Source organism: Homo sapiens, chromosome 15 (assembly GCF_000001405.40).
Source record: "Homo sapiens chromosome 15, GRCh38.p14 Primary Assembly".
Taxonomy (NCBI): domain Eukaryota; kingdom Metazoa; phylum Chordata; class Mammalia; order Primates; family Hominidae; genus Homo; species Homo sapiens.
Window position 1 is genome coordinate 77372469 of NC_000015.10, and position 23806 is coordinate 77396274.

General features: G+C 38.0%; 1 protein-coding gene across 33 annotated transcripts in view; it reads right to left on the bottom strand.

Moving 5' to 3' along the window:
- Nucleotides 1-23806, bottom strand: part of PEAK1 (pseudopodium enriched atypical kinase 1) — a 320261-nt gene that overhangs the window by 271815 nt on the left and 24640 nt on the right. For 2 of the 33 annotated variants that reach the window (XM_047433062.1, XM_047433071.1), the window contains exon 1: nucleotides 16099-19007. The exons of the other annotated variants lie outside the window; for them this stretch is intronic. The gene's annotated coding sequence lies outside the window, so the exon portion shown is untranslated. Of the gene's footprint in view, nucleotides 1-16098; nucleotides 19008-23806 lie in introns of those variants that run through there. 33 annotated transcript variants of the gene reach the window in all.

A 23806-nucleotide genomic window follows, 5' to 3' on the forward strand; every position in this document is an offset into this window, starting at 1 on the left:
TCCTCAATCTGTTTGAATCTGTGTTTGCTCATTAGAAGCCTCTCAATGAATCAGAAGCGAGGGTTTAATCACACTCTTACTCTATGAATGCTTAGTATAGCCCTGAACTATAACAAATTCCTATTCTACCTTTCCCTGTATCTAAAATAGTTTAGATATGGCTGAAGAACCTAAGTATCAGACAGGCTAGCAGTTCTCAACTGATATGGTTCGGATATGTGTCCCCGCTCAAATCTCATGTCAGACTGTAATCCCCAATGTTGGAGGTGGGGCCTGGTGGGAGGTGATTGGATCATGGGGGCAGTTTCTAATGGTTTAGCACCATCCCCCTAGTACTGTTCTCATGATAAGAGTTCTCACAAGATCTGGTTGTTTAAAAGTGTGTAGCACCTTCCTCCTCTCTCTCTCTCTCTCTTTATGCCTGCTTCCCTTGGCCTTCCGCCATGATTATAAGTTTCCTGAAGCCTCACCAGAACCCTAGCAGATGGCCAGCTTCCTATACAACCCGAGGAACCATGAACCAATTAAACCTCTTTTCTTTATAAATTACCCAGTCCAGGTATTTCTTTATAGCAGTGCAAGAATGAACTAATACATCTATCAAAAATGGAGCAATTTCAAAACTATAAATGTGATCTTAATATGTATTTATCCAATTTAAAAAGCAAGTGTCAGAGAAAAACTTCATCCTCTCCTGCTCCTAACTGTTGATCTCTGAATCCACTATGCTCTCTTATGCCCCTATGCCTTTGAAATTGTTATTTTCCCCTTTGCTTGTTTAGAATCTCCTCCTTAAACCTGTCTGGCAAGTTTCTACTCATTATGGAAGTCTTCCCTGGTTTTCCCAAAAAAGATGCATGCAATCTTCCCCTATGCACGTTTATATACTTACATAAGTACCTCTCAAACTATATCATAACTGTCTCTTATGGTTAGAGAACAGTAAGCTCTCTACAGGCAATGACTGAACACCTCTTGGCAGAACTAATATTGAACTGGTACACACCAACAGAGCCTGAAGGGTCATACTTAAGTACGGAAATACTTCCGTAACATAGTCTGGTAACGTGTCACTGCCTCAAACTCCACCAGTCCTAAGGTGCCTACTGATGGCCCAGTCTCCCCACCACCACTACAACCCAGCAGGTAAAACAAGAAAGCCTGACACAGCATAAAGGATGAAGGGGTTCTTCAAGATCGTGATCCAGTGCTACAGCCATCTTAACTGGTTGGTCCCTATTTTGTACTTACTGGTAAATACTTTAAATATCACTCCTGCCTCTTCATAGCCAAAGCACAGGACACTGCCTAGCTTATCAGGCTTCTAATTCTTTGGCAAAATAATAAATGAAGACATACCAGGTCTATCAATGGCCCAGGGTCAATGGGCATGCTGTCAAAACTATGCAGACAATGATCAGTGATCAGACTGTCAAGAAAAATCCAGATACTAAAGTACTAGAAAAGAAAATGGTCAAGTCTGTCTATTCTCTGTGTTTGCCTTCAGCATTTGATAAAATAAATGCTTATCTTGATAATGTGCAAAAAAATCTTCAATGTGATACTTTATAGAGAATATAATTCAAGTATTTTTAATGTTTTTAAATAAAGTTTAAAAGCAAAGTTTCTATAAAGTAAGTCTCCATAACATATCACAAACAGTGATCATTAAACTCTAATCAGTGTCTTGGATAGGAACACAAGTATCACTAAAGGAGGAGCACAGTGATTAATTCAAATGGAGAGGAAAAGGCAAGAATGAGAAGAGTCAGTTAATTATAAATGGCATGTCTAATTACAGATTTTGCTAGGGGCTTCAGATACTTCTAATTAGTTTTACTAGGTATATTAATTATAAACAGAATACCATGAGAGAATTTTCTAATCACAGAAATGTACCTAGAACGTAAAATCAGAGTTTATCTTTATAATTTAATAATTAAATGTTCAATAATGTATAATTATTTTGAAAGTCATCAATAAAATATATATCACACTAAAATCAAGTTACTCAGAATATTGCTAAGGTGGTGACAGAGTCTTTAAAACATCCATAGGGGAGCAAGTGTGTAGCTGAAGGAAGGATGAACATGTAGCTTCAATAATAAGAATTTTGAACTTATAAATGGTGATATAACAATCTTTTTAGGCTCCTTCCTTTCTGGTAAATACTTTAAATATCACTTTTTAATACTTTAAAATTTTCTGGTAGAAAAATTGTCTTTTATTCATGCTGTAGGCAGTTTCAGAGAGCCATATGATTAAAATGTTAAAAATAAAGATGGAAGGGATAAATAGCAGCAAGAGAAGCTTATCTAATTTCAACACTATCTCATTAAGATCAATCTTTAATTTAAAACAAAAACAAAACCCTGCTGTGCTATATACTGTATTAATGAAAAATTCTACAAGGTGACAAAATCTCAAACAGGAAGCATAATGTGTTTACTAAGGACAAATTAAGAAAAACCATTCTGATTTTTTGGTATTTGTATTAAAGTAAAAACTTAGAAAAGAGGAGAAAAATTAAAGACCATGATGTATTTCAACTTTAAGAAAAGCTTTTAAAGTCCCACTAATCTTAAATTAAAACAATCAGGTAAATTATTTTGGTTATTAGCACTAACATGAATTTAAGCAGAAAATATATACAAAGAAAATGTAAGTAATAGTTACAGTATCTATCATTTATTGAACACCTATATACTATCCCAGGCAGAATGCAAGGTGCTTTACCTAAATTGTTAATTTTCACAACCATCTAACTTGGCAGATACTATCATCCCTACCTTACTGATGATGAGTTAGTATTAAAAATAATCTCGCCACAGTCAGCTAGTAAGTGGCAAAGATTCAAACTCATAGTTGACTACCCAACAGCCTCTGTGCTGGCCACTACACCCCACTAACTGACCAGATGGCCTCAATGTAGTTAAAGTAAGCCAAGGTAGCACTGAAGTTCCATGGTGTATAAGCTGTACTAGATGGATGAAGTTAAGGCTTCTATCTACTATTCCAATGAATGTGACTATCTGAATATCTAAGGAAAACAATATAATTTAGTAATTACACTTCTGACCCTGATTTGGGAAATCAAGGATGTAGCCAGTTGGCTTAAGAGCTATCACAAAATTCTATTTTCATTAAACTCACTTTGATCCAAATGATCAAAAATTAAGCACTTAGATCCACAAGTAAAAGGATTCAATCAGGACCGATATAAGTCAAAAATAAATGTAATAATAGGCCAGGCGCGGTGGCTCACGCCTGTAATCCCAGCACTTTGGGAGGCCGAGGCGGGTGGATCACGAAGTCAGGAGATCGAGACCATCCTGGCTAACACGGTGAAACCCTGTCTCTACTAAAAAAAACAAAAACAAATTAGCCGGACGCGGTGGCGGGTGCCTGTAGTCCCAGCTACTCGGGAGGCTGAGGCAGGAGAATGGCGGGAACCCGGGAGGCGGAGCCTGCAGTGAGCCGAGATCGCGCCACTGCACTCCAGCCTGGGAGACAGAGCGAGACTCCGTCTCAAAAATAAATAAATAAATAAATAAATAAATAAATAAATAAATAAATGTAATAATAAAAATAAATGAGTTTGATTATCACAATTTATTTTAAAAAACCTTTCTCCAACTTTTTTGAACACACATAACAAAAAAGAAAATGTACAGTTCACTTAAAAAAATCAGGCAACTTGAAACTCTTCTGAATAAATGAGCATGAATAAAAAAAATTACCATATACCTAACAAAGGCACACAACAAACATTTAACAAACAAGTTAATGACTTGGCTAAATGAAGATTAATAAGTGAAAATGGGGAAAACAAGGAAAATTAAGGGAAGAGTTTATCTTTCTCCAAGTTCCTTCTCACATAAATACTACCTGCTCTATATTTCCCAGGAAGTTGGTTAAGGGGGTGGGGGGGAAGTACCTGCTCTTGAGGTTCTTTACTAAAAACAGTCCTTCAGAATATACCTACCCTAGCAGAACTCTCCTCCTCATATTGTGGCTAAGGAAATATCACCTCTCTCCTAAGAGAAGGTCTAACATCCAAAATAATATCCTTCCTTGTCCTGAACAGCCTCTTTCTGGAAACATTTTCAATCCCTCTACATCCCACAGCATATTTCGAAGATACACTTTTCTGGTTTTCTAAATTGAATATTATTTATTATTTAATCATCATAATGAAAAATTTAAAGAGTAGTTTATGATATACAGAAACTCTGACACAATAAGGATATTTTATAGTGCAAATATAATTCTCATTTTAAAAACACAAGCATCCTTCACAAAGATTGTTCCATTTGAAAAGAATTTTTTAAGGCTTTTTTATGTAAGCTATTTTCTACTTTTTTATTTGAAAGAAATCATGCCTTTAACAAAAGCTGTATTACAGTTACACATCTCTTACCAACAGGGATACATTCTGAGAAATTCATCAGTAGGTGATCATTGTGCAAACATCGTAGACTGTATTTACACAAACCTATATAGTATAGCCTACTATACCCAGAGGCTATTTAAGAGAGCCTATGGCTCCTAGACTACAAACCTGTACAGCATGTTACTATATTGAATACTGTAGGCAATAACAATGGTATTGGTGTATCTAAACACAGATAAGGGGCTGGGGGCAGTGGCTCATGCCTGTAATCCCAACACTTTGGGAGACCAAGGTGAGAGGATCACTTGAGCCCTGTTTGAGACCAACCTAGGCAACATAAGGAGACCCCATCTCTACAAAAATGTTTTAAAAATTAGCTGGGCATGGTAGCACATGCCTGTGGTCCCAGCTGCTCAGGAGGCTGAGGTGGGAGGATTGCTTAAGCCAGAAAGGTGGAGTCTGCAGTGGGCAGTGATTGAGCCACTGCATTCCAGCCTGGGGAACAGAGTGAGACTCTGTCTCAAAAAATAAAGTAAAACACAATTACAGATAAACATAGACAAGGTATGGGAAAAATACAATGTTATATATACTCTTTTTTTTTTTTTTGAGATGGAGTCTCACTCTGTTGCCCAGGCTGGAGTACAATGGCACGATCTCAGCTCACTGCAACCTCCAGCTCACTGCAACCTCCACCTCCCAGGTTCAAGCGATTCTCCTGCCTCAGCCTTCCAAGTAGCTGGGACTACAGGTGTGCACCATCACATCCGGCTAATTTTTGTATTTTTAGTAGAGATGGGGTTTTACCATGTTGGCCAGGCTAGTCTCAAGCTCTTGACCTCAGGTGATCCGCCCACTTTGGCCTCCCAAAGTGCTGGGATTACAGGCGTGAGCCACCATGCCAGGCCAACAATGTTATACTCTTATGTGGTCCTCGTTGACCAAAACTTTGTCATTCCATGCATAACTGTATTTACAACTCTTACCTGGTTAGTGCCTGGAATAACTTCCTGAATCTCATCTACTGTATCACCTGCTGATTCAAAAATCACCTTAGAGCCCAACTCCTTTACTTCACCTAATAAAACTTACTGAGCTTGGACATGTAAAAACCACATGTGGTATATTTTCTTCCAGTGCAACAACGCCTATGAGACTGGGCAAGTTGAGACCAAGAGTGATCTCTCCTCTTCATACAAAACAACTAGCCTATCATTTGAATATGCTATTATTTTACACATGAGTTTAAAAAGAAAACTATGCCTGACTATCACATTTCCTAAAACTGTAAGTTTCTAAGGACTGCACTGACTCTGTATAACAATATTATATATATATATATATATACATAATCCCATAAAAATAAAGCAAGCAAGCATTTTGTAATTCTTATTTCACCTGTAAAAAGGCCAACCACATGACAATTTTACGAAGCATCTCATTTCTTTAGTAAACTATTGAAAGATCATCTCTCTCTCTTTGACATACATGGGCAGTGGAAGTCATAAGCAAAAGCAAAATGAAATGATCGTCAAAAATTCGTGCTTCTTACAGAGTACGGAATTCAATAGTCTAACTGCCAGGAATCTTGCTACTTCACGGTATTATTTACATATTACAAATTATATTTAATTAGAGTTTGTTATTTGTTCCATTTTAAAGGTATTGGAAAATAAAATATTTCCCTTTGCTGACATACTAACACACTCTTTACTATATACTAAAACTTTATAACATTTTATGTCTTAGTGGTTTTTGGAAGGTCAATACCATTGCATACTTATATGCTGAAATAAATCCTTTTAAAAATCACATTGTCAATTCTCTTTGGCTTCAGAAAATAGACATGTCAAAAACTCAACTGGAAAGCAAATAAATCACAATACCTTTGAAGTGTTATTAAATAATCCTGAAGACGAAATCTGAGTCAAACTACAAAAAGGCCCTCAATCTCTGCTACCAAGAATTGTGTTGGATTCATTCATATATCATTTATAGAAAAGAAGTAATCACCATGTCTTTAGCCAAGCACAAACATGTTTGTTGAGATGGACTGTGTAAGTCCGAGGATTTTGCTCGCCACCCCTATATTTCCTTGGTCTACAAGAAACAACTGTAGTTCAGCTGAGACTGTCTTTAACTGGTTTGTTTTTAAAGAGCTATATCTGCTGAAATGAGATTGCCTAAAAGCACTGCAATCCTCTCCAGTGGGATTACAAGTTATATTGGTAATAAATGTGTTCACTTAGGTAACAAGAAAGAAGAAAAAGGCAACCTACAAATAGTGCTGAAAATCTGAAGTTATACATTTTCTCCAATGAAATAAAAGTAGTTGAATACCATATATTTCAAATAGAAACTCAAAAATCTGGGGATGTCCACAGCAAGACCTTCCCATAAGGAGCAAAATTATCTAGCAGTCCTTCTAAGAGGAACCTGAATTAGCATTCTCTATTGAACTAAAAAGTCGTAAGAGAATGTGAGTCACTTTTGAAGAGCTCATTGAAGAATAAAATGAGACTTTAAGTCTTTAAAGAAACTATCTAGAAATATATACAAATCCTAAGTTGAATACAATGTAACAAAAATAACACTTATCAAACACCCTCATACTTACAATTCTATACCCTCTGGGAAGAACGGTATACATGGAGGGAAGCCATTTTCTAGCTGGACATACTAGGCTAGGGTTCCCGAAATCCAATATATAGAGATTCAGGGGTTTGCTGCAAATATTCTAGAAGTGTATATCTAGAGTAAGAACTGTTCACTGCCAACCCAAGGGCCCATCCAACATAGAATACACCAATAGGGACCCTTAAGAGGATTGGTTAGGTCCAGGACCTTCATAAGAGATCTAATTAGCTTTAGAAAACGGGCCAGAAACTCTTGTAACAGGAAACTTTTCCGTTTACAGCAGGACTTGCCTACAAGATACCAAGACTAAATGCTGTTTCACTAGAATGGGACTTATTTCAACCAATCATATACAGATCTATGAATTCATGCCATCCTATCCAAAATGCTGGTTTTCAATACTTAATTTGGATAACTACTCCAAACCTACCCTAACCACTGCTCTTTTCTAGTACTAAAATCCAGACTTTTCTTCCTCAACAATTACTCACTGAATTTCTTTACTATATTTCTTTACCTGGCAAATGTAAAATCCTTACTATATTTCCTTACCTGGCAAATAAATAAACTCAGCTTTGTTTTATCTTGTTTTTTTAGCTCCATTGGTCTTTGTTATATTCTTTGACATATTGATTTTCAAGAATATTTTCATTCCTTTTCTTCCACCAAAAGCAAATCAATACTGGCCTGGGAGCTAGAATCGGTCAATAGCATGACCTGCCCTGGTAATCAATAATACACGCTGGTTATGTAATAATACAGGCCGATGGTTAGGTCATGCCACTGGCGTACCTGAAAATCTGCCAGATAATTAGAATCACCCTTTCAGCAAAAACAGCAACTCTCTGAGTACTCTGGTGGTACTGATCAGTGCAGTTTTGGAAGGCTGGACATAACTGATCTTTAAAGGCAAGATCCCTTTTTATTCCTCTTTCTGCTTATTATGTACGTGGTCCACTGTCAAAGAGATATGAGAAAATCAGTTTTTTGAATTTTTTGAGACAGGTTCTTACTCTGCTACCCAGCCTAGAATGCAATGGCACGATCACAGCTCACTGCAGCCTCGACCTCCCAGGCTCAAGTGATCCTCCCACCTCAGCCTCCCAAGTAGCTGGGACCACAGGCATGCAACACTATGCCCAGTTAATTTTTGTACTTAGTGTAGAGATGGGGTTTCACTGTGTTGCCCAGGCTGGTTTCAAACTCCTGGGCTCAAGTGATCCATCCACCTCAGCCTCCCAAATTGCAGGGACTACAGAAGTGAGCCACCATGACTGGCCAAAAATCAGTTATTATGCAACAACTATTTGCTTGACAAGCATCCCCCTCTCTCCCAAATGGCAGAGTAAGTGTTGCTGGAAACCCTGGTATGCCACTTTCATCAACCCAAAACTATCTACATTTAATACACAATCTTTTAGGAGGGACTTATTTGTCAGGTAATTTCAGAGTGAAGCATAACTGCCAGGTAAAATAAGTTTTATTTAGACAATATGAGCTAATAATATGATTTGCCTTATTAGGTCAGCCTTGGCTCCCCAGCACTTCCCAAACCCTGCTCTCCCTCTTCACAGAGAATATCCCAGAGGCTCTGTGGAACCCAAACAGCAAAATGCTACTATGGAGTTTTAAATAATGGAGTAACATGCTAAAAATCATGTTTTAAGATTAATAACCTAAAAAGCTAATCTAGGACTACAGTTGGGAGACAATGGAAGCAAGGAAACCAACTCAACATGACATAATTGATCCTTAAAGAATACAGCAATGGCCAGATGCAGTGATGTGTACTTGTAGTTCAAGTTACGTGGGAGACTGAGGCGAAAGCACTGCTTGAGGCCAGGAGTTAATGGCTGTAGTGCACTATGATGGTGCCTGTGAATAGCCACTGCACTTCAGTTTGGGCAACATAGTGAGACCCTGTCTCTTAAAAAAAATAATTTTTTCTTTAAAAGAATAAGGCAATGGCTCTAAGAACAGTAAAGAAGAACTGAATCTGACATTACCAACAAACTTTATCTTTTCCATTACAGATTCAATTCATTGAGTAAACAGAAAGGTTCACTTGTAAGGCATAGAGTCATTTTTATCCATCCAGGTTACAGAGTGCTGAAATTCAACCACCAGAAAATCATCCTTTTCAATTACAACACTCTACTCTCCCAACATTTTCTCCAAAAACATTCTAGAAGGAGCAATTTCAGAAGTACTCATTTAGCCATTATTGCTGCTTTGATGGCAATTAGCTTGCCTGCTTGCCTTCTCCAGGCACTTTCACCTCTACCCCAACCCCAAAGCACACCATAGTATCCCCCAAAGCCACCTTGATAAAAAGGGATAGGGCAAAAACAAGAATCTAAGAACCTAATTGTATCTGAACTGGAAGTGGGACTAAAAGAAATGAGATGCTTTGCCAAAATTTGGAATAAAACCAGAGTTAAGTTTTTAAAATTCTAATGTCAGGGTTCTAAGATAACCTTCATATTTTCTCTGCCTTTGGATACAATATATCAAAAACCAAAAATCCTTGTAAAATTAAAATTCACAGAAAAGTTTCAAGCTAGACTCCATCCATGTCTCTCTCTTTCTCTCTCACTCTCACTCATACCCTCCCTCCCTCCTCTCTATCTATCTCTATCTCTATCTTTAACTTTAGTGGGGCAAGAGTGGTTAATAGAAACAGCTAACAAATCAAAGAGCTTCCTTCAGGGATTCCCTGCCACCATCAGGGCAAAGTTCTGACTTGACAGCCTGGTAACACAAGGCCCCTAATATTTGACACCCAACAGTCCTTTCCAATCTCATCCTTCACCATGCTACTTTCCATTTCCTCATTCACCAATCATTTCTACTGAATGTCTATAGATCCCCAGTCTTTAACGTTGTCTAATACTTCCATACCTTGGCTCATTCTTTCACCTTGTCTGATACTCTTTCGCCTTGTCTGTGTGGCTATGTGAGGCTCGAGTTCTTCTCTTAGAAATATTTCCTGACATCCTTCCTCTTGGGCCCTTCAATACACCCCTCTCTAACCCACACCAAATCTGCATTAGGCTCCCTCCTTCATGCACACCTCTATCAAACTTCTTAGAGGGTACTGTCAATTCCAAAACTAGGGAATGCTTGCCACATTATAGGTACTAAAATGGTCATTAGTTTCCAGTTCTGTGTTCCTCCTAGAGCAGAGTCATTTTTCTTTCTCTTCTTTTTCTTCTATTTTGTCTAAGAATCCTCGGTATTCTTCCTATTAACTTGACAGTTTTATGCACATTTGGAATATGGCTATTAGCTTCTTAAAGGGGAATCCAAATGAAATTAAATACACAAGGAAGTTTTTCCATACCGGGCTCAATGAATCAATCTGACCCCAAAAATGAACTTTTATGAATATTCAGACTACTACTAAAACAAAGGAAAAAATAACTTTTCTTAAAATGTTTATTGATCTACTTTGAAAATGTATTAATACATCAGCTTCTGAATCATCAAAATGTTGAAATATGAAATCAGTTTGTATCTCCTTTTTTTTTTTTTTTTTTTTTGACACGAAGTCTTGCTCTATTGCCCAGGCTGGAGCGTAAGTGGTATGAGCTCAACTCACTGCAACCTCCGTTGCCCGGGTTCAAGCAAGTCTCCTTTCTCAGCCTCCCGAGTAGCTGGGATTACAGGCTCCCGCCACCACGTCCAGGTTTAATTTTTGTATTTTTAGTAGAGATGGGGTTTCACCATATTGGTTAGGCTGGTCTCAAACTCCTGACCTCAGGTGATCCACACCTCTCAGCCTCCCAAAGTGCTGGGATTACAGACATGAGCTACCATGCCCAGCCAGTTTATATCATTATTTTAAATAGAGAAGAATATCCACACTGCAATAGGAAATCTGCCTTGAGAAGAAACATCAGAGTTAAAACTTGCAACATCTGACTCCACGTTCCTTTTTGATCTTTTTAGGTAGGATAACTGTTAAAGGATACATAAAAATGTGATAACCCTACTTGTCAGAACTCTGTTCAAAATCTTCCCACTAGGGATTCAGACTGGGGACTGCATGACATCCTTATGCTATCGGTGTGAAAAACAAAAAGCAAGCTTTGAGCAAAAACGCTACCCAAGGCTATACTCAGTTATAGCCTCAAACTGGCATCACCCCCATATACAACATCATTTTTATAATATTACTTACTAGATTTAGGAATTCTACCAAATTAATGGTTCTAATAAAAGCACAGAAATGTGATCTAATATAAAATACTCATGTGGGTCTTGCTTTGCTTTTTAGAATGACTTTGGTCAATCTAAACTTTTCTATTTCTTAAGCTCTAAGATGTAGCAATTATAAAGTCACTATTTTAAAATGTTTTCTAAGCTACCTGGTGCACTTTAACTCAGTTACTCTCTCTAGCTCTAAAAATCAAACTACCCGTTCATGGAAACATACTTAGGATTAAACACTGTAAAATATAGATTGCAAATAAAAACACCAGTCAACTTGAATCAAAAGATTAAACTCTAACAAAATGATTTACAATTATACCTCAATAATAAAAATGTAAGTGAATTCAATACTAATTGTAATACAGTGGGGTTTCCCTTATTTACCTGAGGGAGGGTATGGAATGTAGAAAATAAATTAGGTATTCTGAAGATCAGAGTAAAACAAAACATAACCTAGCTAGATCTGAAATTTAGTGCAAAAAAAAAAAACAAGCTCACAAACTATTATATTTTTGTCCTTTACCTTTACTCCTTCCCTGCTGCCAGCCACCTGTTTTAGATATTCTCATGCAGAGAAAATAGCAACAATGCCATTTTCCTTCCAAATGCAATCAGGTTTTGGCAAACTTCAGTCAGTATGTCAGTTAAAAACAGAAACAACCCAAAATGTGATTTGGCAAATAACTACTTAAGTATTGAGTAGTTCCTCCCCTGAATGGTATTGCACTTTCCATTTATCATTTTTAAATGTACAAAGAAAACTGAAAATCTGCACATGTAGCTGGACAAGTAATAGTTTCCAAATTAATAATACATTATGCATTACTCTATTAAGCATACATTAAGAGCAAAATTATGCCATTTTGGAAACAGAACTCCTTGTGAGAGTGGTCCTTACTGTTGTGGTATTTCAAACCACTGCTTTCATTTTTATATAAACCTTATTGACACCTTTTTAAGTTAGTATTCAAATTTGCCAGAAGTTTAAACAACTGTTTTCATCAACATGTGTGCCAACTGCCTTCCCTTGGCCCTCCACCAGATCCATTTAGGATTCTCAGACTAAGCCTGCCTAAATAAAGTTTTATTTTAATAGTCACACCCATTTGGTTACAAGTTGCTTATGGCTGCTTTTGCTGTATGTCAACAGTTGAGTAGTTGTGACAGATCATCTGGCTCTAAGGAAAAAGTCTGCCAGCCCAGGCCTTTTTACAAATAAACTTGATAAAATCCCCTCACCACTGTCTTCACTGTTCATCTATGAAATAAAGGTGAAAGAGTGCTTACAGAATTTCTCAGAGCATATGCAATTAACTTTTTAATATTTATACTACTTGGAACCCATGTATAAGATACTTTCCTGAAATACTGAGTTGATTCAGCAACTCAGGTGAACCTAAAATCTTCTCAGATTCAAAATGTAAAATGCCTACACCCAAAACCACACTAATTACTATTACTCAGCAATAAGTATAACACCATCATAAGGAAGTTGAGTAATGACAGAAGCCTATTTGTCTGTCATTATTTCTGCTATAGAATTTTCAAGTAAAAATAAAAAACAAAACAAAAATGTTTAGAGGTGGTTAAAACAAATGTTCTTTAAAGTTTTGCAAATAGAAGACAATTGTTTTATTTTCAATGATGCTGTTTCACTCTAAAGCCATTCTAAAATTTTCCAGCAAAAAATAAAAGGACCAAACTTCAGATTAAAATGTCAGATAGCTAAATATTAAACAAATATCTGAGGAATAAAGGGAGCTATGGGGATGCTCTGGTTGTTAACTTCATTGTAATTATTTTGTGTATTACAATTTTCACTCTGTAAAGGTAAGGACATAGATATGGCAAAGGAGTCTTTTTTCTAACCCAGCCCAGATACTTCGAGACCCCTATAAGGAAGGCTATCTGGGGACTGGGTGCCAAGGCTGCCTCAATCTGCAGAGAAGATGAACAAAAGGAAGTCACACTGTATGAAAATAATTCATGGAAAACCCTGAAGTCTGAAAGGCACATTTCTAAAGAAGAGTCACATCATTTTATCATGGTGATTAAGAGAGGCACTTATTTAGATGCCACCTGAGCCTTTGGTCTTCTAACACCAACTGCCTCCTGACTAGTTAAAAGCATTGGGAATTTCCAAAGGACCATGCTTAGGGCAGAATATATGAAGAAGGAAGGAGCCTTAGTTTTAGAATGAGTCAGATAAACCTGGTTTGAATCTAGCACCCATTTTATATGTGACCTTGGGCCAATTATTTAGCCTCTCTGAGTCTTCGTCTCTTCATGAAGATAAAAATGGTACTATTTTCATAGAACTGCTATGAGGATTAATGGAGCTATTATAGGAGGCACTGACTCCTGGAATGTAAAAATAATTAATAACAGCAGCTAAACATATATAGAACTAAAGGCCAGGAATATATTCCTCAGCATTTATTCCTCAGAAAATCTATTTAGTAGGTATTATAACTTGTCCAAAGTCACAAAACAAGCAAGTTGCAGAACCAGATGTGGACCCACGAAGTACGCCTCCAATGTCTTTGTTCTTAATTACCTCTTATACTGAAGTTATTATTAGAATGAGCATCCCAAGTATTCCTAAGAATGGCTCTATGTACAACAAAGTATGTGAAGCCTTCTTCATCAATATTTGAATTTTCATAGATTTCTAGTTTGGAAACAATCCTGCTTTGTTGTTAAAATGCTGTTGGTAGCACAAAGCTATTAACATTATGGTCATAAATTCAATATCTGTTTAGGTCACTTAATTACAATCAGAGGGAAAAAATTTTCCAAAACCCCAATCCATTTAGGCTGGCTTTGTTCATACCCATCAGAACAAGGACTGCATTAAAAAAATAGAAAGGGCTATGGAACAAACACCTCTTCATGAGGAGCTCAGAAGGGATTCTGGTGGCATCATAAAATGAGAGACTCAGAGATAGAAGGGCCTTGATTTAACTCCCTTATTTTACAGAGTGAGAAATGAAGCCAAGAGAGAAGTGTTGCTTTCCCCATGTCCCACAGTTGGTTATCCATCACATCAGACCATGTGCAAGAAGATCTTCCCACGACACCACTATGTCTAGATTCCTACTGAACTGCAAACTCATGCCTCGTTAATACCTCAATTGACAGTCATGCATAGCTGGCTACTACACAACAGAAATATACTGGAAATCAGCAGATGGAGAGGGATCCTCTCACCAAAGATCTTTAAAGAATTTCTCTAATACAATTATTGTGTATCCATAGTAAAAAAAAAATCTATTTAAACAAGACATAGTAAACTTGTTAACTCAATAAAGTGCAGACGTATAAGTTTGTAAACATTCCTAATACACTTCTGAACTATTTCTGTGTTCTCAACATAGAATAAGTCTCCAACAGAAATTATCTCCCTCCTTCTAGAATCTCTCACAAGAAAACTCCCATTAAGGCCTGATTACAATCTTGATAATCTTTTCTACAAAAACACTTGCTCCCTTAAATTAATAAGTTATTAAATTCTCTCTTCCTGGAAACAAATCCATCAATAGACTTTTAAAATGGTAAGTTACCTGATACTTTACTCTCTTCAAAGACTGGCTGTTCACTGCCTAGGTGTAAATATAATTAGCCTGCTCCTAAAATAATTTTGTAGGGTAAGAATTCCCTCATACTAGGTTACAAATATTTGTCTTTATGCACATCTTACCTTTTGTTTAAGGCAAAACAGATGGATTTGTTGTTCAAATTCAAAACAATCACATAAGGAAAGTGATTTGCTCACAGCTGATGCTTTCAACTCCTTTTATGACAACCCTAACTAATGTGTACGATCTCCTCTCTTAGCAGAACTGAGAATTACATCTCCAATAGGGAAGTAGCTCTCCAGTGACATACCTAAGCAGCCAAACTAAGGTTACATAACTAAATTAAGCAAAAATGAAAAAGCATTACCCAGGAAAATGTGTTATAAAGTTACTTGAGGAAGCTATGAGAATTCCCAAAAAAACAAGCAATAATTATCTTTCCCTCTATAGCAAAACAATTAAAAATTAAAAATAAATAAAATAGTGACAGTGATGGGAAAGGAACAAGCTATATATTCCAAAGGAAGAACTACCAGACTTGGTTAGATATAAAGATGAAGCACTCAATGAATAAAAAGTGACTTCAGCATTTTGGTATCTGGCCAACTATGTGGATGGCAGCCTTCTTGACAAACCCAGAAGTCAGAGGAGAGTTGGTTAGTAAGGAGGGGAGGTAGGGCCAGTTTTACCCTGTTGAAGTGAATGTTAGCAAGTGGGTATACTTAGCATGTTCTAAGTATATATAGCTGAAATTAGCTGGGCGTGGTGGTGTGCACCTGTGGTCCCAGCTACTTGTGGGGCTTGAGGCAGGAGGATCGCTTGAGCCCAAGAGGTAAAAGCTGCAGTAAGTCATGATAGCATCACTACACTCCAGCCTGGGCAACAGAGCAAGATCCTGTCTCAAAAAAATAAAAACAACTTGAAAAGTATATGCAACTGGATCACGCGTAAACTGAAGGTACAAAACTTGAGCCTCTTGTAGAAGTTTAAACATGAAAATGTTTAATTACCAATGTGGGCTTCATAGGTAAAAGGTAAAGCCTCAGAGTGATAGATATGACATGCTAACGTGCAGCTAATGAAATCTGTATCAGAACTTTTAGTGTATTACAACACTTGCTCAGATAGTTGCAGTTGCTATTCAGTGTCTGCCTCCTTTTCCCCTGCTTAAACACTCCAAATAAAAGACGACTCATATTGGCATCTCGTTTACAGAAAAATATAATTTAATACTATGTCAACTAACTCAGGAAATATTAACTCCAGAATGCTTACCTGAATCTTCTCTCCGTGTATCAAACAATACATGCAATTTGCCTTCTCTGAACCATATCTACATATAGCTATCACTTAGAACATATATCTTCAACATTTCATGTTGATCATTGTTTTCTGTTAAATATACATAATGTTTCTATTTCTACATTTTCCTTTCAACTGCTAATATTCTCTTCATCCTCTCTTCTACAGTTTCAAGTTTGAATTCTGGGTCTCCAAGTTAAAACTTCACACTACAAAAAAAAAAAAATACTCCATCAAACAGGCCTTATATGAATTGTTTACCAGAGATACTTGAATAAATTTGTTTCCATCCTATCTTTTATGTTCCACATTTATTAACTTAACTTTCTTCATACCTTCTTTCTGCCTGTCTACCTTCTTTTGCTTATTTTTTTTTTTTTTTTTTTGGAGATAGGGTCTTGCTCTGTCGCCCAGGCTGGAGTGCAATGGTGCTATCTTGGCTCACTGCAACCTATGCTTCCTGGGCTTAAACGATCCTCCCACCTCAGCCTCAGCTAGGACTACAGACATGCACCAACTTTGGCTAATTTTTAAATTTTTTGTAGACACAAGGTTTCACTATATTGCCTAGGCTGATCTCGAACTCCTGGGCTCAAAGTGATTCTCCTGTCTTGGTCTCCCAAAGTGTTGGGATTACAGGCATGAGCCACTGCATCCATTCTCTTTTTTTAGTTGTATCATTTACAAGTTTTTATAGGAAAAATTTTGACCCTAATTTTGGGATTCAGCTTTCTAATTCTGAGCAAAAAAGGAAAAAGCTGTAGAGTGAATCAACCCTGTGTGTCACTAGACAGGTGTGCAACCTTAGGCAAATTATTTGACCTTTCTGAGCCTTGCTTTCCTAATTTGCAAATGGGAGATAATACCATCTCTCATGGAGGGATGTTTTGCAAGTCAAAGAAAAAGAAACGTAACAAAGCTGGGATGATAACTTGTGGTTATACATGAAATTTTATAGGTTATTATGAAAGTAATTATCTTAGAGGCCATTTCAGAACTTAGCTACCAAACACACTGGATGCACTTTCTAATTCTGTCTTCAACTCAAGGACAGAGTACAAATTAGATTACTGAAGTTTTATTGGAGGAGGCATCAAGGTGTGCATGTAATAGAAATCTAGGGTTACTACCTTTTTGTAGAAAGGCTAGAATACAAACACGGGAAAGCCAAATCTCAAGGTTTACTATGTTCCACCATCCCTGTATACCCTAGAAGGTAGTAAAATCTTGACTGCAATTGGAAGGTTTACAGTGTATTTCAAGCAGGGAACTGCTACATGGCATTTAGACTCACAATTCCAAGCAGAAATGGGATTAGTGTAGTCTGTATTTCATTGCTGATTTGAAACAGAATGATGATAATGAATACATTAACTTTACAACTAATATTACATGCCACGTACTATGTTAAGTGTTTTGTATTCATCATTAACCCTCATAACAACCCTATGAAGTGGATACTTTTATCTCATTTGACAAATGAAAGAAAACTGAAGCTTGGGAGAGCTGGGATTCAAACCCAGATAACAGTAAAAATTTCAAAACAGTGAAAATGTCAATAACACAGCAACAAGTTATGTGCTGACAGTAAGATACCAATATTTCAGCAGTCAGAGCTATTTGAGTATCTGTGGGGGAAGTGGAGCATCATATTCACCTAACTGTATAAGTAAGAGCAGGAAAGAGGGAGAAGAAAAAGAAAGGATTACATCCAGAGCAGCAATTCTGGAATTTTCAAATATTAAAAATCATGACACTGTCAAATTAAGCATAGCCTGCTTTGAGGATAATTAGGGCTTTCCAGAGCTAAAGTTCTCCACCTGCTTTCTACCTGACACATGGTGATGGATGACAGCATTAGAAGCTGATGTTATGTGCTATCATATGCTCAACACACTTCCATGGGCACAGGTAGGCCTCTGTAAAACTCCCAGAACATCAGCTGCACCTCTGTGGCTTCTCATCTTCCTCAGGAAAGCATATTAGAATGAAAATGAGTAAAAGAAGTATGAATTTTATCTGTATCAAATATGTACATGTTAATATTTACTGAACATTGGTACTATGTGCCAGGCATGTTCTAAGCCCTTTGCCTCTATTAATCCACAAATGAGACTATAAATTAGACACTATTTTCATTTTAAAGATGAGATAACTAAGAAACAAAATAAGTAATTTGCTGAAGATCACAAATAAGGGAGATCACAGTGCCAGGATTTCAACAAGGTGGTCTGGTTGCAGATCCCCAGCTCTTAAACAGGACAATAAACTGTCAACTTTTCCTGGGGCACAATCCAGTAGACAGATGCCCTGGGAATTCCAGGAACTCCTTGCAAGATGACACAACCAAAAAGAAGAACTTTTGCCTCTGCAGAATAAGTTCAAAGGGCTCCCTAGGACTGTGAGGGTGCACTGTCCCCATCAGGATTTTAGTTTAAAGTCACAGAGACCTTGAATCCCAGCCCCACAGACTTAGAAGACTCTATTTATGACTCTCCTTATTCCTGGGTAAGCTGGGCAGTAAGAATCTTCTTAGTTACCCCAGCAAATGATACTGGTTGAGGCAGCCCAGACCCATGGTGCTACTGCTGAGCTACACAGTATCCACATAGTTTCACATAAAGAATAGGAATACAACTCCTTGCTCTGAAACAAGAACTGTGCATTAAAGATTCATTCAGTCTTCTGGGTAGCACTGTTCACATACCATTCATTCAACAGTATTTACTGCAAGCTGCTATATACCAGACACTATTCTAAGTGCTAGAATACCTCTGTGAACAAGAAGAACCCTGCTCACAAAGTTTATATTCTAAACTTTATATATAAAGGTCAGATTTAAATACAAGAGGAAAGGGTACTGGCACCAACCTAACTCATGGCAAAAAAAAAAAAAAAAAAAAAAAAAAAAAGAGATACCAGGGAAACACCAGGCCAGACTACTGCACTGCTATTAAAGATGCTGCCAACTTGAAATGAAAAGCAATATGATTTGATGGTACTATTTCTGGCTCAGGCTAAGATAACAGTACCCACCAGCAAGTATCCAAAAGAAAAAGTGTAAAGCACAAAGATACAGAAGTCTGAATCACTGTTTTTTAGTATCCCTTCCCAAAAAAGGGAAGAGAAATCACTATCAAAGGATCCTAAATTCTGCCAACTCGTGACATTGTATACTACCAGTGTGCAAACTAATACAAGGAAATAAGATAGCAAACAAGCTAAAGAGTTCTCTCTTTAACCAACAAATTAAACAGGGGAGAAGAGATGATCACATACATACTAATATCCGATTATTCACCTGTAAGTTCTTAAAAAGTGATAATACCAGAATGTGAAGCGTGATGAACCATTAGAAATACTTTAAACTCTTAGCCTATAAACTATCTCTATATCAGAATGGTCAAATTAACACCAAAGTGCAAAACTATGATCCTGTATATACCCCTATAATTGTACTTGACACGTAGCATTGAAATTAACTTCCTGGGCAGTGAGATACAGGAAGGCCAGACTGTAGTTCATTCATTTTTGCACCCGCAGCATTTAGCACCAGGCTTGTCACAAAGAAGGCATGCAGAAAATGTTCGCAAAACTGAACTAAAAATCAGAATCTTCAATATGGAAATAATAGAACCACTGGTGGGATACACACTAAACAATATTCATCACAGTTGTTCACTCTGAATGGTGTGGCCAAAGTTACCTGTGTAGCTTAGATCATAACTTAGATAATGATAATCTATGTGAAAAAAGAGTAATACCTCTAATAGAATAAAGTAAAATATAGCAAGAGAACAAAATAACTCAAATTTTGATAATATATCAAACAGCTTAACTGCTCAGAATTACAGAGGTATTAAGACCAATGCAATTCAAGGCAATCTCTGCAGCCTTAACTGCCAGGTTATTTTCAACTCATGGCCCAAAGATTAATATGCATCATATATATGGCATTTATACATTCATCTATTCCTACATCTTCATGTCTATGCCATATGAGATATAAAGAGAGGTACAGGGGATCTAACTTTGAATAGGAAAACACAGGTTTTCTACCCTCATGGACGGTCTTCTTTACTGCTCTCATTCATCAAAAAAGATCCAGGTCTTGTTGAGGAGGCGGCGGAGTAAGATGGTCAAATAGACGCATCCACACCAATCGTCCTCCCTGCAGGAACACCAAATTGAACAACTATCCACACAAAAGAGCACCTTCATAACAAGCAAAAATCATCTGATTTTTTAACTTCATATCACTGAAAGAGGCACTGAAGAGGGTAGGAAAGACAGTGTTCAATTGCCGACACCATCCCCTCCTCCCTCCCCCATCCTGTGTGGCATGGAGAGGGAAGCTGTGCACTTGCGGGGAAAGAGAGCACACCGCTTGTGGGACTTTCCATTGGACCTCAGTGCTGCCCTGTCACAGCGGAAAGCAAGACCAGGCAGAACTCAGCTGGTGCCCACAGAGGGAGCAATTAGAGCAGCCCTAGCCAGAGGAGAATTGCCCATCCCAGCAGCTGGAACCTGAGTTCCAGAGAGCCTTGCCACCATGGGCTGAAGTGCTCTGGGGTTCTAAATAAACTTGAAAGGCAATCTAGGCCACAAGGACTGCAATTCCTGGGCAAGTCCTGGTGTGGTGCTGGGTTTGGAGCCAGTGGACTTTGGGGAGTACACAACCTAGTGAGACACGAGCCAGGGCGACCAAGGCAGTGCTTGAACTCCACTCCCCACACTGTCCCCCACAACCCCAGGCGGTGCAGCTTGCAGTTTGGGGAGAGGCTCCTTCCCTCCTTTTGAGAAGAAAGGGAAGAGTAAAGAGGACTTTGTCTTGCAACTTGGATACCAGCTCAACCACAGTAGGACAGGCCACCAAGCAGGCTCCTATTCCAGGCCCTAGTTCCTGGACCACATTTCTAGATACACTCTGAGCCAGAAGAGAACCCACTGCCTTGAAGGGAAGGACCCAGTCCTGGCAGGATGCATCATCTGCTGACTAAAGGACTCCTTGGCCCTGAATAATCAGCAGTGTTAGCTAGGCAGTACTTGCCAAGGGCCTTGGGTGAGACTTGGCTTCAGGCATGACCTAACACCTCATACATTCCCAGCTGTGGTAGCTACAAGGAGAGACTCCTTCTGCTTAAGAAAAGGAGAGGGAAGAGTAAAGGAGACTTTGTCTTACAGCTTACCAGTGCAGCCACAGTGGAATACAGCACCAAGGGGGATCTTGCAGGGTTCCCAATTTCAGGCATTGGCACTTAGATGGCATTTTCAGATCTGCCCTGGGCCAGAGGGGAGCCCACTGCTCTGAAGGGAGAGTCCTGGGCCTGAAAGCATTCATCACAAGCTGACTGAAGGGTCCTTGGGCCTGAGTGAACATCAGCAGTAGCCAGGCAGTACTCACCACGGGCCTGGGACAATGATGGCCATGGGGACAGAATTCTCTGCTTGTGGAAAGGGAAGGGAAGAGTAGGAAGGACTTTGTCTTGTGGCTTGAATGCCAGCTCAGCCGCATTAGAATAGAGCATCAGCTAGATTCCTAAGGTTTCCAACTCCAGGCCCTGGCTCCTGGATGGCATCTCTGGACCTACCCAGGGCTAGGGAGACCTTGCCACCCTGAAGGGAAAGACACAAACCTGGCTGGCTTTGCTATCTGCTGATTGTAGAGTTCTAGTATCTTGAGCAAACATAGGCAATAGGCAGGCAGTGGTTACCATGGGCCTTGAGTGAGAGCCGGTGCCATGCTGACCGCAGGTCTGACCCAGCACAGTCCCAGTAATGGTGGCCACAGAAGTGCTTGTGTCACCCTCCTCCACTTCCAGGCAGCTCAGCACAGAAAGAGATTCCATTTGTTTGGGAGAAGGTAAGGGAAGTGAACAAGAGTCTTGGCCTAGTAACCCAGAGACTTCTTCTGGATCTTATCCAAGACCACCAAGGCAGCACCTCTATGGGTCTGCAAAAGCCGGTGTTACTGGGCTCAAGGTGCCCTCTAATGCAGACATGGCTGCAGTAACTAAAAACCTGGATTACAACACCCAAGTCCCTTCAAATACCTAGAAAGTCTTCCCAAAAAGAAGGGGTACAAATAAGCCCAGATTGCAAAGATGACAATAAATACCTAACACTTCAATGACCAAACACCCACGGACATCCAGAAGCATCAAGACCATCCAGGAAAACATGACCTAATTAAAACAAACTGAATAAGGCACAAGGAATCAATCCTGGAGAGACAGAGATAATGTGATATTTCAAACATATAATTCAAAATAGCTGTTTCAAAGGATAAATGTTTGAGGGGATGGATACCCCATTCTCCATGATGTGACTATTACTCATTCTATGCCTGTATCAAAACATTTACTGTACCCCATTAATGTATATAACTCCTATGTACCCATAAAAATTAAGTTAAAAATTTAAACAAACTAAAATTGCTATTTTTGAGGAAATGCAATAAAAATCAAGATAAAATAGAGGATGAATTCAGAATCCTATCAGATAAATTTAACTAACAGACTAAAATAATTTAAAAGAATCAGACAGAAATACTGAAGTTGAAAAATGTAACTGACATACTGAAGAATGCATCAGAGTTTCTTAACAGAAGAAAGAGTCAGTAAGCTTGAAGACAAGCTCTTTGAAAATACACAATCAGAGGAGAGCAAAGAAAAAAAGAATGAAAGACAATGAGGCACACTTAAAAGATCTAGAAAATAGCCTCAAAAGACCAAATCCAAGAGTTATTGCGCTTAAAGAGGAGGCAGAGAGAGAGAGGGGCAGGGATAGAAAGTTTATTCAAAGGGATAACAGAAGACTTCCCAAACCTAGAGAAAGGTATCAATATTCAAGTACAAGAATGTTATATAACACCAAGAAGATTTAACCCATGTAAGACTACCTCAAGACATTTAATCATCAAACTTTCAAAGGTCAAGGATAAAAAAAGGATCCTAAAGCAGCAAGAGAAAGGAAACAAATAACATACAGTGTAGCTCCAATAAGACTGGCGGGAGACTTTTCAGTGGAAACTTTACAGGCCACGAGACAAGAGGCACAACATATTTAAAGTGCTTAAGGAAAAAAAAACCTTTATCCTAGAGTAGTATATATCTAGTGAAAGTATCCTTCAAACATTAAGGAGAAATAAGGGCTTTCCCAGACAAACAAAAGTCAAACAAAAGGGATTTTATCAACAACAGACCCCTTCTATGATAAATGCTAATAGGAATTCTTCAATCTGAAAGAAAAGGACTTTAATGAGCAAAAAGAAATAATCTAAAGGTACAAAACTCACTGCTAATAGTATATAGAAAAGCACATAATATTACAACACTGTAATTGTGGTGTTTAAAGTACTCATATCTTGAGTAGAAAGACTAAGAGATAAACCGATCAAAAATAATAACTATAACTTTTAAAAACACAGTACAATAAAATATAAACAGAAACAACAGAAAGTTAAAAAGCAGGTGGGATGACGATAAAGTGTAGAGTTTTTATTAGTTGTTTTCTTTGCTTGTTTATGCGATCAGTGTTATCACCAATTTAAAATAATGGGTTATTTAAAACCCATTATCAAATATCTATCTATAGATAGGTAGGTAGATAGCTAGATAGATATTATATGCAAGCCTCATAGTAGCCTCAAACTAGAAAACATACAACAAATACACAAAAA